The sequence below is a fragment of the Homo sapiens genome, chromosome 14 (assembly GCF_000001405.40).
Source record: "Homo sapiens chromosome 14, GRCh38.p14 Primary Assembly".
Classification (NCBI taxonomy): Eukaryota; Metazoa; Chordata; class Mammalia; order Primates; family Hominidae; genus Homo; species Homo sapiens.
Window position 1 is genome coordinate 103,908,321 of NC_000014.9, and position 13,680 is coordinate 103,922,000.

At 48.4% G+C, this 13,680-nt stretch overlaps 1 protein-coding gene across 2 annotated transcripts, besides 4 other annotated features; it reads right to left on the reverse strand.

The window, feature by feature from the left end:
* Positions 2,466-2,966: an enhancer, noted in NCBI's record as "H3K4me1 hESC enhancer chr14:104377123-104377623 (GRCh37/hg19 assembly coordinates)". NCBI's record gives its function as "activates a minimal SCP1, AML or CMV promoter by ChIP-STARR-seq in naive H9 embryonic stem cells {active_cell/tissue: H9 hESC(naive)}" and the evidence as "EXISTENCE:reporter gene assay evidence [ECO:0000049][PMID:30033119]".
* On the reverse strand, positions 3,968-13,209 carry ATP5MJ (ATP synthase membrane subunit j). Of its 2 annotated transcripts, NM_001127393.2 has the most exons (5): positions 13,150-13,209; positions 12,620-12,888; positions 6,746-6,869; positions 5,641-5,664; positions 3,968-4,374 (listed from the first exon to the last, which is right to left on the reverse strand). In NM_001127393.2, exons 2-5 carry the CDS (start codon positions 12,668-12,670, stop codon positions 4,346-4,348), a joined length of 228 nt encoding a protein of 75 aa, NP_001120865.1. In that variant the 5' UTR covers positions 12,671-12,888; positions 13,150-13,209; the 3' UTR covers positions 3,968-4,345. The 2 variants fall into 2 exon arrangements, with proteins under 2 accessions (NP_001120865.1, NP_004885.1); NM_004894.3 differs by lacking the exon at positions 12,620-12,888.
* Positions 12,864-13,539: an enhancer, noted in NCBI's record as "H3K27ac-H3K4me1 hESC enhancer chr14:104387521-104388196 (GRCh37/hg19 assembly coordinates)". NCBI's record gives its function as "activates a minimal SCP1, AML or CMV promoter by ChIP-STARR-seq in naive H9 embryonic stem cells {active_cell/tissue: H9 hESC(naive)}" and the evidence as "EXISTENCE:reporter gene assay evidence [ECO:0000049][PMID:30033119]".
* Positions 13,174-13,346: a silencer, noted in NCBI's record as "fragment chr14:104387831-104388003 (GRCh37/hg19 assembly coordinates)". NCBI's record gives its function as "represses an EF-1alpha promoter that drives an FKBP-Casp9 reporter gene in an ReSE screen in K562 erythroleukemia cells {active_cell/tissue: K562}" and the evidence as "EXISTENCE:reporter gene assay evidence [ECO:0000049][PMID:32094911]".
* Positions 13,233-13,402: a silencer, noted in NCBI's record as "silent region_6183". NCBI's record gives its function as "represses an Ori minimal core promoter by ATAC-STARR-seq in GM12878 lymphoblastoid cells {active_cell/tissue: GM12878}" and the evidence as "EXISTENCE:reporter gene assay evidence [ECO:0000049][PMID:35858748]".

Genomic DNA, 13,680 nt, shown 5'->3' on the forward strand with positions numbered 1-13,680 from the left:
AAGTAAGGTTTTTTTGGGGGGGAGGGGCAAGGTCTCACTCTGCCACCTGGAATGCACAACCCTAGCTCACTGCAGCCTTGGTTACCCAGGCTCAAACGATCCTCCCACCTCAGCCTCCTGAGTAGCTTGGATTACAGGCGTGAGCTGTCACAGCCAGCTAATTTTAAAATTTACTTGTAGAGACAGGGTTCTGCCATGTTGCCCAGGCTGGTCTCAAACTCCTGGCCTCAAGCAATCCTCCGGCCTAGGCCTCCCAAAGTGCTGGAATTACAGGCATAAGCCACTGTGCCTGGTTTAAAAAATAAGTTTTTATTCCTAACTAAATGAGAGTTTTCTGACATTTTCCCTCTAGACTTAGGTGTTCATTAACTCTGGCCTATATTACATCATTCTTTAAGAGGGAAAACAAGTGAAAAAGCTGAGACTTCCTTTGTAGTAAGAGACATCAGGGGAGCGGTTGTTGTGAAGAGTGGTGATGAGACAGTCACTGTCTGACAGAGCCGCCCGCAGAGTCGTTACCTTCATTTCCTGGGGCTGCACAGTGCCAGCTTCTCAAACAGGTATTATAATACTAACACAGGCTTCCATCACATGGCTTTTTTTTTAAAGTATTTTTAAAAACTTTTTATTGGGAAAAGTTAAAATGTATGCAGAGTGAATTCTGTAATGCACTTCTAGACGTCCACCCCCTACCCTCTACACAATTACCGATCTCATCCCATCTAGAGACTCCGTCCCCCCAATCTGTTTTGACTGGCTAGTATTTGCTGGTGTATCTTAAAGTACATCCTAGGTATCATTTCACACCTACATAATTGCGCCTGCATTTCTTTCTTTTTTCTTTTTGAGACAGAGTCTCTGTCGCCCAGGCTGGAGTGCAATGGCACGATCTCGGCTCACTGCAACCTCCGCCTCCTGGGTTCAAGCAATTCTTATGCCTCAGCCTCCCAAGTAGCTGTGATTACAGGTGCGTGCCACCACGCCTGGCTAGTTTTTGTATTTTTAGTAGAGACACGGTTTCACCATGTTGGCCAGGCTGGTCTTGAACCCCTGACCTCAGATGATCCACTGTGCCCGGCCTGCACCTCCATTTCTAAAACCAAAGAAATTTTCTTTAATAACTACAATACCACTATTGTGGTGGTGATCACCTAATAAGATTAACACTTCAACATCACTTAACACCCAGTCCACGTTCACATTTCTCTGTACGTACCAGAAATGCCTCTTGGTGGCTGGTTTGTCTGAAGGGTGGAAGCAGGGTCCGTGCTCAGAGCTGGCTGTTGAGCAGGTGCTGTGCTTGCTCCAAGGCCCGTGTGCAGCGAGGCCTGATGCTGGCGCCCGTCAGACGGTTCCTAACAGCACAGACGTCCAGGATTGTGTCTGCCAAGCACTGGCACTGTGTGTCTGCAGGTCTGTTCTCTAGCCTCTGTGTTCAGGGAGTGAAGAGAACGTGTGCTAACCACCGCCGCATCCCCGACGGCAACGCACGCCCAGCACAGGTGAAGGAGCTCTCTGAAGCCACGCTGTGGTCCGAGTCCCGATTCTGAAGCGGGTCAGATTTTGAATCCTGGCCAACCAGTTAACTAGTTGGTTTGTTAGCCAGGTAGTTATCCTCTAGTACAAACTACTTATCCTGTCTGGGCATCCATTTCTTCAGCTGTGAAATGGGGTGATGGTATGGGCTCACGGGTTATTGTGCAGATAAAAATGAAGCAGACTACGGCCTGGCACCCCGGAACTCGGGATCCGTTAGCTTGACAGAGACAACTCCCTTGAGGGTGGCAGGAAGCACACCCTCCAAAGCCTCTGGTTGGGGTGCGTGTACCCCTGGGATACAGTGACAATCAAGAAGAAACACCATGCCTTCTCCTAGAGTCTCATCTGAGGCTAACTTAGAGCACGTTGTTTAAAATGACACCTTCAGCTGCCTGTGAGCCACTTCCTCTCCTCCCAGCCTTTGTCGTTACTCTGCAGCACAGCTGAGCACTGCATTAAGTCAGAGCAGCACGAATGCGTAGGCTTTGGGACAAAAAGCCTCTGGGATTCCTTCCTGAACTGGCCCTGCCCACTCCCGTGGCTCTCTGTGCATACCTCTTGCCCATTGGCACCGCCCTCCAAATGCTCCTTTCAACAGATCCTCCTGGCCCCGTGCTCCTCGCCCACGGGGAAGCCCAGGTGACATTCTCTAGCTCCACCTACAGGCTGCCTTCGGGACAAGACCTGGTTGTTTCCAAAACCCCGAGGGATTCAGTGTGTGAGTGAGTTCTGGGATAGCAAATGCAATTATTTTTTGTTTTCTTTTTGAGACAGGGTCTCGTTCTGTCGCCCATGCTGGAATGCAGTGGTGTGATCTTGGCTCACTGCAGTCTCGACCTAAGCTCAAACAATCCTCAAGCATCAGCCTCCCCAGTAGCTGGGATTACAGGCGCACACCGCTACGCCTGGATAATTTTTGTTATTTTTTGTAGAGATGGGGTTTCGCCATGTTGCCCAGGCTGATCTCAAACTCCTGGGTTCAAGCGATCTGCCCGCCTCAGCCTCCCAAAGTGCAGGCGTGAGCCACTGGGCCCAACCTACCCTGGTAATTTGCCAAAGGAAGCCTTAAGTAGTAAAGGGAGAAGAGGAATGGCCCAGCCTTTGTGGGGAAGCCCTCCTGGGTCAGACACATCAATCTCTGCTTCCGGGGGTGAGGTGGGGGGTGGGGGTGGGGAGGGCAGCTCCCATCCGTCCTCACCTCCCTTTGGAGGAGAGTTCAGGTTCTGGGGGTTCAAGTCCTAGCCCCAGTGCTTGCTAACTGCGACATCTGTAGCGTGTTACTGCCTCTCAGCCTGTTTCCTGTTCTGAAAGTCAGGGCCTGTACTGATGCCTCACTAGGTTCTAAGGTGGACTAAATGCACTAAGATGCGTGACACAGGGCTGGAGCCTGGTGCCAGTGCAGTGGATGTGAAGGCTGTGATAGGGCAGGCCTGGGTTCTTTGTATCATTAGAAATTTTCCAGCTGGGGTCCTGGCATCCGCATGTCCTGGATGCTTGTTAGACATACAAGTTCTTGGGCTCCTTCCTACAGCAGTGCAATCAGAACACTGGGGCCCAGCTGGCTGTTAGGGCCTTCCAGGTGATTCTAATGCACTCTCAAGCCTGAGCAGCTGGGCAGATGGATAATTTTAAAGGTAGGGCCTTTCTGTACCACAGCAGATTCATCTTCTGGAGGCAGAAGAGAACAAAATACGTTCGCAGGAAAAATGTGATTCCTGTGTCAGAACCAAACCCTCTGAATCTCACACGACCTGACGCTGACTTCCACTGATGCTGTGTAATGCTTTCCTGCAAACTTCTCACACAGCCCAACAACCCTGAGGCTGTTGGAGGAAGCCATGACAGGTTTTGGTTGTCTTACAAAAGAAACTGAGGCTCAGAGAGATCTCCGTCATCTGTTGGACATCTACCATGGGCCAGACCTAATGAGGCTAAATGCCAGAGACACAGATGATAAACAGGATGGTCTCAAGAGGACAGGACACCCAGGGTGCAGCCACCACCCCCATTCCACAGCTGCTCTCCTACCCACCTGCAGAGTGCCAGATTTCAAACTGGACTCACTTTTACCCCCATGCTTGCTGCTTTAGAATCTTTTTAGCGCACAATTTAGGGATCTTGGTAATTGTCTTAGATGGAGACAAATATTATGCAGTATGCATTTGATACTAGCCTAACTAGAATCAATTGGCTTTTTTTTTCAATTGGCTTATTATGTACTTTGCCTTGTGATTATTTCCTGATGCAATATTCTCCTACAGCTTATAATTTCAACTACTATGTCATTGAATGCTACCTTATTTCTAAAGGACTTCATAGTTTAAATCTTTCTCTTATTTATCCTCATAATAACTGTAAGTTAGAGCTTACATAATTAACATCTCCATTTTCCAAATAAGAAAACAAGAGGCTCAGAGAGGCCACAAGATAAGTAGCAGGATCAAGTTTAATAAACGTTTATTGAGCAGTAGAATACAAGTGAGTGCCTGGATCCTGATCACCAAGTCCTGTACAACTGAGGTAATTATTTCACAATGATGGGTGGCTCAGTGAGATTCTGATTGCATGCGCTGCATGACAAATTATCTACTCAGAGTATGCCTGACACGCCGGAGGGGCTGAGGGGGAACACACTGAAAGCAGTACCAGGTAGCAGTGCATCTCACAGATCCATTTATTCATGCCATGAAGTAAACGGTACTTATACAAGTGTACAGTGACGTTCCACGCTCCCCATCTAACACGGCTTGCTGAAATTTACAGGCAGACTGACGTTTTCTTTCACATGTACTCCAAGTAAATCTGGTTAGTGATGACCAGGAGCAGGCGCTGAAGCTTTTGAAAGAGATGCATATATAAATATGATTTAAGAAGGAAGGAACAAGTTGGATGTAATTTATTAAACAAGTATCAAAAGAAGTTGATCAACAGTCCAAAAAGATAAATGACACCTTTCAATACTATTGAAAAGTAGGATTATTTCTATATGAAACACCCAGAGTGCTTAAGGGTTCATGTAATGACAGCAGACAGGCAGTGGTCACCCACAGCGCAAAGAGAGAGGCAGGGAAACACCTCCTCCTCAAACTCATGTAGCCAGTCCTGGGTTTGTGTAACATTCAAATGGCTACAGTTTCATTGTCACTCTGGCATAAATTTATAAGGCGCTTTCTTTCAAAATACATTAAAGGCCAGGCGCAGTGGCTCACGCCTGTAATCCCAACACTTTGGGAGGCCAAGGCAGGTGGATCACCTGAGGTAGGAGTTTGAAACCAGCCGGCCAACCCCATCTCTACTAAAAATACAAAAAATTAGCCGGGTATGGTGGCGGGCACCTGTAATCCCAGCTACTTGGGAGGCTAAGGCAGGAGAATTGCTTGAACCTGGAAGGCGGAGGTTGCAGTGAGCCAAGATTGTGCCACTGCACTCCAGCCTGGGCAACACAGCGAGACTCTGTCTCAAAAAAAAAAAAACCCAAAAAACAAAACCAAACCATTAAAAACACATCATTACGGGTAGGCTGAGGCGGGTGGATCACAAGGTCAGGAGATCCAGACCATCCTGGCTATGTGAAACCCTATCTCTACTAAAAATACAAAACATTAGCCAGGCGTGGCGGCAGGTGCCTGTAGTCCCAGCTACTCAGAAGGCTGAGGCAGGAGAACGGCATGAACCTGGGAGGCGGAGCTTGCAGTGAGCTGAGATCGCAGCACTGCAGTCCAGCCTGGGCGACAGAGCGAGGCTCCGTCTCAAAAAACAATAAACAAAATAAAACGACATCATTAGGGAACTTCTAGGACAGCATGCTTGCACAGCTCACTTGTGCTTCCCTATTGGTGATGATATCGACTACCTCTAATTAATCCATTCCTCTATTACTCCTGGAAGTTTTACTTGATCCACTTGACTATAAAAAGCAGAAATTCAGAATTCTCTTTCCCAGCAGGCATAGCAAACTTCAAGCTGTGAAGCATTTCAACTGCACCTTACATATATACTGAACTGTGTTTCGATTTCAATTGAGAACAACGATATACCTTGTCCTGAAAAGACATGATGCTGTTTTCCATTCCCAACCATTTTCAGAAGCAAAAATCTTACCTTTCAAAGCCTTACTTCTTTTATCTAAAATAAAAGGAAGGAAAAAAAAGCAGTCATATCAATGCTTTACAAAAATGCCTTTGTCAAAATTAACATTTAGCTGAAGGCATTGTAGCTTAGGTAAAGCAATTCAGGAAGCTTTCAGAAAATGTCTTATAGCCAAGAAATGGTAAAATTCCTACCAAAGATGTTCTATGAACAGCTAACAGCCCTTTCAAATTTGCAGGGCTCCTTACCTTCTACAATGTCCTAAACTTTAGTCTTGCAGCATAAAGTTTTCTCTTTTCTCTTTGTAATCAATGGCTTAGTAACATGTGATTGGGCCACACTGCTCTGCTCTACTGAGAACCAAGTGGTTATTCCTCCCCTCCAAATTTTTTTACAAACAAATTTCAAATATTCAGAACAGTTGAAAAGGTGCAATGAAATACCACATACCATGAACCCATACCTTAAATATTTTAGCCTTCATCTCTTAAAACGAATGTAATACCACTTTCACACCTAAGAAAACTCACAATTCTGATATTAAAGTCTTGTTCAAAGTTCCCCAATTGGGCCAGGTGTTGTGGCTCACGCTTGTTAATTCCAGCACTTTGGGAAGCCAAGATTGGAGGACTGCTTGAGCCCAGGAGTTCAAGACCAGCCTGGGTAACATGGCAAAACCCCATCTCTACAAAAAAAAAAAGTACAAAAAAAAAATTAGCTAGGTGTGGTGGTGTTGGGCATAGTGACGGGCACCTGTGGTCCTAGCTACTTGGCAGGCTGAGGTGGGAGAATCACCTGAAATCACCTGAGCCTAGGAGGTGGAGGCTGCAGTGAACCATGATCGTGCCATTGCACTCCAGCCTGGGCGTCAGAGTGAGAGACTGTCTCCAAAAAAAAAAAAAAAAAAAAGAAAAGAAAAGAAAAAAAAAATTCCCCACTGTCCCCAAATGTCTTTTATAGCTGACATGTGCTCCCTGTATTTTTTACGAAGGACTGTAGGTAGCTCTAATGTTCATACCTAGTTAGAACCCATAGTTCCTTTACAATGTGAATTGTGATTCTTTTTGAAAATAATTTTCTTCCTGACCTCAGAAAAATCAAACATAAGGAAACGTACCAGCAGCCCGGATTTTATAAACGATGAAGCCCATCAGCCCCATTCCTATCCAAATCTCCTGGTAAACTTTGGTGTAGTAGGGCTTCATGGGGATCCATATGTTTTTAATAATACTTTGAAGCATCTGAAAATGAACACAGTGATTAAAAATTAGAATGATGATTGCTTTAAACCTAACTGGTAAAAGATTTTAATTTGTTAAGTTCAACCCCATTTCCCATGACTGCTAGGGAGCCTCGCCTGTGTCAGATGTCAGACCCGTTCTGCACTCACAGGGGACTCACACCTCTTTTTTTTTTAAGGTGGAGTCTCACTCTGTCACCCAGGCTGGAGTGCAGTGGCACAATCTTGGCTCACTGCAACCTCTGACTCCCAGGTTCAAGTGATTCTCCTGCCTCAGCCTCCCGAGTAGCTGGGACTACAGATGCGTGCCACCACGCCTGGCTAATTTTTGTATTTTTAGTAGAGAGAGGGTTTTGCCATGTTGGCCAGGCTGGTCTCGAACTCCTGAGTGCAGGCGATCTGCCTTGCTTTGGCCTCCCAAAGTGCTGAGATTATAGGTGTGAGCCACTGTGCCTGGCCATTTTTTTTTTTTTTTTTTAAAGCAGAGATGGGGTTTTACCACATTGGTCAGGCTGGTCTCAAACTCCTGACCTCAAGTGATCTGCCCACCTTGGCCTCCCAAAGTGCTAGGATTACGGTGTGAGCCACAGGGCCCGGCCTGGGACTCATGCTTTCCACAGCTCTTCCAACTCAACCCATCCCCAGGGCCCCCTCCTCCCACCTTTGGCCATCCTAGCCACTTCTCCTTCCTTACATCACAGAGCTCATCCAGCACCTCTCCCACCCTGATGCCATGCCCTGAACTGCACATGACTCTAATGTCTAAATCGAAAAATTAGTATCTTCTCATCGTCATGTAATGAATGTCGCATTCGAAGCTGAAAAAGAATATGGCCAGGGCATGGTGATTTCCTTGTGAAACTAATGCCAGGCTCAGCACACTCTGATCAGCTGTATCTCCATCTTGAAGTCTATTGCTAAATACAAAACAGATGACATAAGACAACGAGGTCACTTCATAATAACTGCCAATTAAGATAGAACTTATTTAATCAATAAAGGTAGTTACTTAATGAATTACTGAATTTGATTGGGAAAAGCCATTAAATTCCAAACTTACAGTTTGCTTGTATGTGCAGGTCTCAAAATAATGCTTTTTGTTACTTTTACAATTTACTCTCTACTATAGACCGCAAATTAGATGCCCTCATTTTCATTTTAATATGCTTTTTAACATCTGAAGTGGTCCATTAAACTACAGTCAAATAGCTGTCAGGAGTGACTAGATCTAAGCACTTCTCATTTCACTTGGAAACTGCTTTGGTTGGGTGTGGTGGCTCATGCCTGTAATCCCAGCGCTTTGGGAGGCTGATGTGGGAGGGTCACTTGAGTCCAGGAGCTCGAGACTAATTTGGGTAACATAGGGAGACCCCGTCTCTACAAAACATAAAAAATTAACCAGGTGTGGTGGTGCTTGCCTGGCTAATTTTTTATGTTAGTCACAGCTATTGGAAGACTGAGGTGGGAAGACTGCTTGAGCTTGGGTGGTTGAAGATGCAGTAAGCCATGATCACACCACTGCACTGCAGCCTGGGTGACAAAGTGAGACTCTGTCTCAAAAAAGAAAGAAAGAACTGCGCGTTGGCTGCGGCTGTAATGCTGCCTCCACCCCTCCCTCCCTCCACCCACTCACTGCTCCTTTCACATCACTGCTCAGGATCCAAAGAATCCGAATGCTCGGCAGTGTGCTCCCTTTCCCACACTGCGCAGCTGTGTGTGTCAGCTTTACCGCACTGAATCCTTCACAAGCCCAACCTAGTCAAAGGTCAAATGGCGGCCCTCAAATCACTGAAACCCGGATCGTGTGGTCATTTATTCACTTGGCAAATGTGCACTGAGCATGTACTAGGTGCCAGACATTGTTTTAGGAGCTGAGAAACAATAAAGGGTCAGGATATCTGGGAGAGGAATCCTCGGCATTGGCAGAGACTCCGAGGTCAGAATGAACTCGGAGAGCTGGAAGGAATAGGGAGGCCACAGTGCCAGATTCAAATCCTGGCTGTCACTTACTAGCTAACTTAAACCGCTTAAGTTTTCTCATCTGTAAAACAGGGATAAAAACAGGATCCACCTCAAGGGGTTGTTATGGAGAATAACATAGAATAACTCTATGTCAAATGTTGAGTGTCTGGTACTGTATATTAAATGCTTGTTACATAAAATACCATGGCTGGACTATGGGAAGGAAGATGGGCCATGTCATTTAAGGGCCTTGGAGGCTAGCATAGAATTTAGCTTTTATTCTAAAACTGTTCTCTAAATTTAACAACTTTTTTTTTTTTTGCTTTAGGGTTTTTTTGTTTCCCGTTTTGACAATATGAAGAAAATTCAGTTTAGAATCTGGAACTGGCCTGGATGGGATTCGAGGGCAGCTGGTGGGGGCTGCAGAGCCCCTTCGATTCCTCCCCCACCGTGGGAGCTAAGCTACTGGACAGAGGAGCACCAACAGGGCACCGAACCAGGAACTAAGTTAGTGTCTTGAGTCAGGCAAGAATGGGGAGGCCAGGCCGGAGCTACAGCAGGGACTGCCCTGATTGTGGTTAGTTCTGTCTCTAGCCCTTTAACAGCATTTTAAAAGTGCTTTTCGTACTTACTTCCTACACTGCTTCCCACTCCTATAAAGTGGGTACTTGGAGAAAGCTCCTATAAAGCGGGTACTCGGATCCCGCAGCAGGTTAGCAGGACTGCACTCACACCAAATCTGTACGTCATGCTCCTGATGACGAGAACCTACCTCCAACACCTGCTTTCCTGCTCTTCCCTATGAGAGGACTTATTTAGGCAAGGATGGTCGTGAGGGTGGCCTGAGGTCTGACCTTGCAGGATGCGACTGTGTCCTTCTCCTGGAACACCTTGCAGATAGTCCGCCCTCAAATTTCCTGTCCTCAAGCTACTCGAATGCTCTGACAGTGTGAGGTTCCAAGAAACGAACAGCCCTGCTTTGGGAATATGTCACAGATGATCCAAACAAGACCCAGAGGAGGTTTCTGGAAGCCCCAGACTAGGAGTTCAGAGGCATGGAGTGAATCCCTTGTCTCTCAGCAACGACTGGGAAGGAAGCATTCTACAGGACCGATGGGTTTGGAAGCCTGGGAATCCTGGGCTCCAACACCAGCTCTGCCTGGTCAGCTCTCAACTGTGGGCAAGTCCCTTTAGCTGTTGTTTCAGAGGTTTTTTTTTTTCTCTTTTTTGAGACGGAGTCTCGCTCTGTCACCCAGGCTGGAGTGCAGTGGCGGATCTCGGCTCATTGCAAGCTCCGCCTCCCGGGTTCACACCATTCTCCTGCCTCAGCCTCCCGAGTAGCTGGGACTACAGGTGCCCGCCACCACGCCTGGCTAATTTTTTGTATTTTTAGTAGAGACTTGGTTTCACTGTGTTAGTCAGGATGGTCTCGATCTCCTGACCTTGTGTTCTGCCCGCCTCGGCCTCCCAAAGTGCAGGGATTACAGGCGTGGGCCACCAGGCTCAACCCAGAGGTTTCTTTTTCTGTGAAACAGGGATACCTCCACCTGCCCCCAGAGGGCTGTCAATGCAATTCAAAGAGGAAACCAAGGCCGGGAGCGGTAGCTCACGCCTGTAATTCCAGCACTTTGGGGGTCCAAGGCAGGGAGATCAAGAGGTCAGGAGATCAAGACCATCCTGGCTAACACGGTGAAACCCCGTCTCTACTAAAAATACAAAAAATTAGCCGGGCGTGGTGGCGGGCGCCTGTAGTCCCAGCTACTCGGAAGGCCGAGGCAGGAGAATGGCGTGAACCCGGGAGGCGGAGCTTGCAGTGAGCCAAGATTGCACCACTGCACTCCAGCCTGGGTGACAGAGCGAGACTCCATCTCAAAAACAAAAACAAAGGAGAAACCTAAAGGACCCAGCCTAGTGCCTAGTGCCTGGTACGGAATAAAAATCCAGAGAATGGACTGGGCACGGTGGCTTACGCCTATAATCCCAGCATCTCGGGAGGCCAAGGTGGGCGGATCACTTAAGGTCAGTAGTTTGAGACCAGCCTGGCTAACATGGCGAAACCATCTCTACTAAAAATACAAAAACTAGCTGGGCATGGTGGTGGGCGCCTGTAATCCCAGCTACTCGGGAGGCTGAGGCAGGAGAATCGCTTGAACCCGGGAGGCGGAGCTTGCAGTGAGCCAAGATCGTGCCACTGCACTCCAGCCTGGGCAACAAGACACTCCCCCTTTATCTTAAAAAAAAAAAAAAAAAAAGAATTCAGTGACTGATCACAGCAGTAACAGAATTGATACAAATATCCAGTTCATGGCTATAATTAATACTAAGCCACTGGGACTCTAACAAGAAGGAAGGCTTAAAAAGACGCCCTCATTTAGGCCAGGTAGGGGCTTTGGACAGAACAAGGTAAGATGAGGGTCTATAAGGAAAAGGGCAAAGTAAACTGGGAGGGTACAATGACTACGGTAAGAAGGGACTAAAGAAACTGAGTCATGCTGACATTGTGCTCCGGGCCCAGGCACCCTGGTATGGTCTCCTTACAAAATTACCCTTAGTCCCCAGTGCAACAGGGGCCTGCTATTCAGTAGCTTGCAAATACCTTTCCCTTCCTTTCCCCTTGACTTCAGTTGCCATATTTGCCTGGACAAGTGACATGTTCCCAATACATAATAAAACGAGGGCCCCCCCTTTTTTTTTTTAGACAGAGTTTCAGTTGGTCATCAGGCTGGAGTGCAATGGTGCGATCGCGGCTCACTGCAACCTCCGCCTCCCGGGTGCAAGCGATTCTCCTGCCTCAGCCTCCCGAGTAGCTGGGACTACAAGAGGCCGCCACCACACCCAGCTAATTTTTGTATTTTTAGTAGAAACGGGGTTTCACCATGTTGGCCAGGATGGTCTCGGTCTCTTAACCTCGTGATCCGCCCGCCTCAGCCTCCCAAAGGGCTGGGATTACAGGCGTGAACCACCGCGTCCGGCCCCTACTTTTTTTTTTTTTTTGAGACAGTCTCGCTTTGTCACCCAGGCTGGAATGCAGTGACGCGATCTCGGCTCACTGCAACCTCCGCCTCCAGGGTTCAAGCGATTGTCCTGCCTCAGCCTCCTGAGTAGCTGGGAAGCTGGGACTACAGGCGCGTGCCACCACACTGGGCTAATTTTTTGTATTTTTGGTAAAGACGGGGTTTCACCGTGTTAGTCAGGATGGTCTCGATCTCTTGACCTCGTGATCCGCCCGCCTCGGCCTCCCAAAGTGCTGGGATTACAGGCGTGAGCCACCGCGCCCAGCTACATATTCCCAACACATAATAAAACGACAGCCCCTACTTTTTTTTTTTTTTTTTTTTTTAAGACGGAGTTTCACTCGGTCATCAGGCTGGAATGCAATGGCGCGATCTCGGCTCACTGCAACCTCCGCCTACCGAGTGCAAGCGATTCTCCTGCCTCAGCCTCCCGAGTAGCTGGGACTACAGGTGCCTGCCACCACACCCAGCTAATTTTTGTATTTTTAGTAGAGACGGCGTTTCACCATGTTGGTAAGGATGGTCTCGATCTCTTGACCTCGTGATCCGCCCGCCTCAGCCTCCCAAAGGGCTGGGATTACAGGCGTGAACCACCGCGCCCGGCCGGCCCCTTTCTTGAGTCCATTCTGCCCAGGCACATTTCCTAGCTGTGTGTGTCAGTTTTACAGCACCAGACCTTTTAAAAATCCATCTTATTCATAGGCCAAACGTGTGTCTACTGTATCCACTTAAGTCTGCAAAGTTTTGGCACATTACATTAAGGGCGAACTATTACCTGACACTGGAAATGGGAAATGTCTGACCCGCGAGTTCCATACAATTTCATTCAGCACCGTATGATCTCTTTTCAGCTTCCCTGTTGCCTCACCCAAGTTGTCATGTACAGCATAACGTGGAGGGCAGTGTGGCGCAAGGAAACTTGAGTTATAAAGGAGAGAAGGGACTGGATGTGGAGTCAGAGTTCTTGGCTTGGACTCTGGCTTCTCTAACTCTGCGTAGCCTCTGGGTTAGGCAGCTGAACCTCTCAAGGCCAAGGTACGCTCCCTGTCAAAACCGTGGGAGAATTCAGGTGCACTGAGCGCGTTAAGGCCAAGGAGGGAAACGCGGCGCAGGCCTAGGCGATGCTTCCCTCTGGCAACCGACCCTGGCCTACCTCCCTTCAGAGAAGGGAAAGCCGGGCAGAAAAGCAGGCGCGTGCCGGCGGAGGGGTGGAACCCCAAGATCAGCTGGGGCCAAGGCGGCTTCTCGCCCTCCCGCCCCCGCCGTCTCGCACCTCGGGAGCCAGGTCCAGGTCCCCGTACTCACCTTGGCGCAGGACAGACGGCTCAGAACGCACCACAAATCTGCAGCCAACTCGGAAAGGTCACCGAGCGCGCAGGCGCGCGCAGGGGATGCCGGGAAGGCGGAAGCAGCAGAGACGCCGCAAGGCCAGAGTGCCTCCCCAGCGGCGCCTCCGCACCACAGCGCCCCCGGCGGCCGCCTGGTGTCGCAGGCAAGAAGGGGCGGGGAGAGGGTGCGTTAGGGGTGTGCCCGCGTGTGTCACTGTGGGCTGGCTAATCCTCCACATCTTCCCACGACTGATGGGTTTCCTGGGACGCGGGACCTTCAACGCTGAAACTAGGAAAGTTCTAGACATACCGGGAGGGTTGGTTAACCTAAGAAAAGGGACCCTCTTTACTGTGACGTTAAAGACTAAGTCAAGTCTCCCATTTCAGTGGTGTGTCTTGTCCCTTTCTATTGTTAATTATTTAGCTCTGCATGTATAAAATATATATATTTGGAGACGGAGTCTCACTCTGTCGCCCACGCTGCAGTGCAGTGGCGCGATCTCGGCTC

Excerpts from the sequence above, each read along its gene's own strand:
- ATP5MJ (NM_001127393.2), bottom strand. The coding sequence starts at position 12,670 with ATGAAATTGTATGGAACTCGCGGGTCAGACATTTCCCATTTCCAGTGT. Across the intron at positions 5,665-6,745 it reads TTATAAAATCCGGGCTGCTG|ATAAAAGAAGTAAGGCTTTG; the intron begins GTACGTTTCCTT and ends CTTTTATTTTAG. Across the intron at positions 4,375-5,640 it reads AAGAAGTAAGGCTTTGAAAG|CTTCAGCGCCTGCTCCTGGT; the intron begins GTAAGATTTTTG and ends CTCTTTCAAAAG.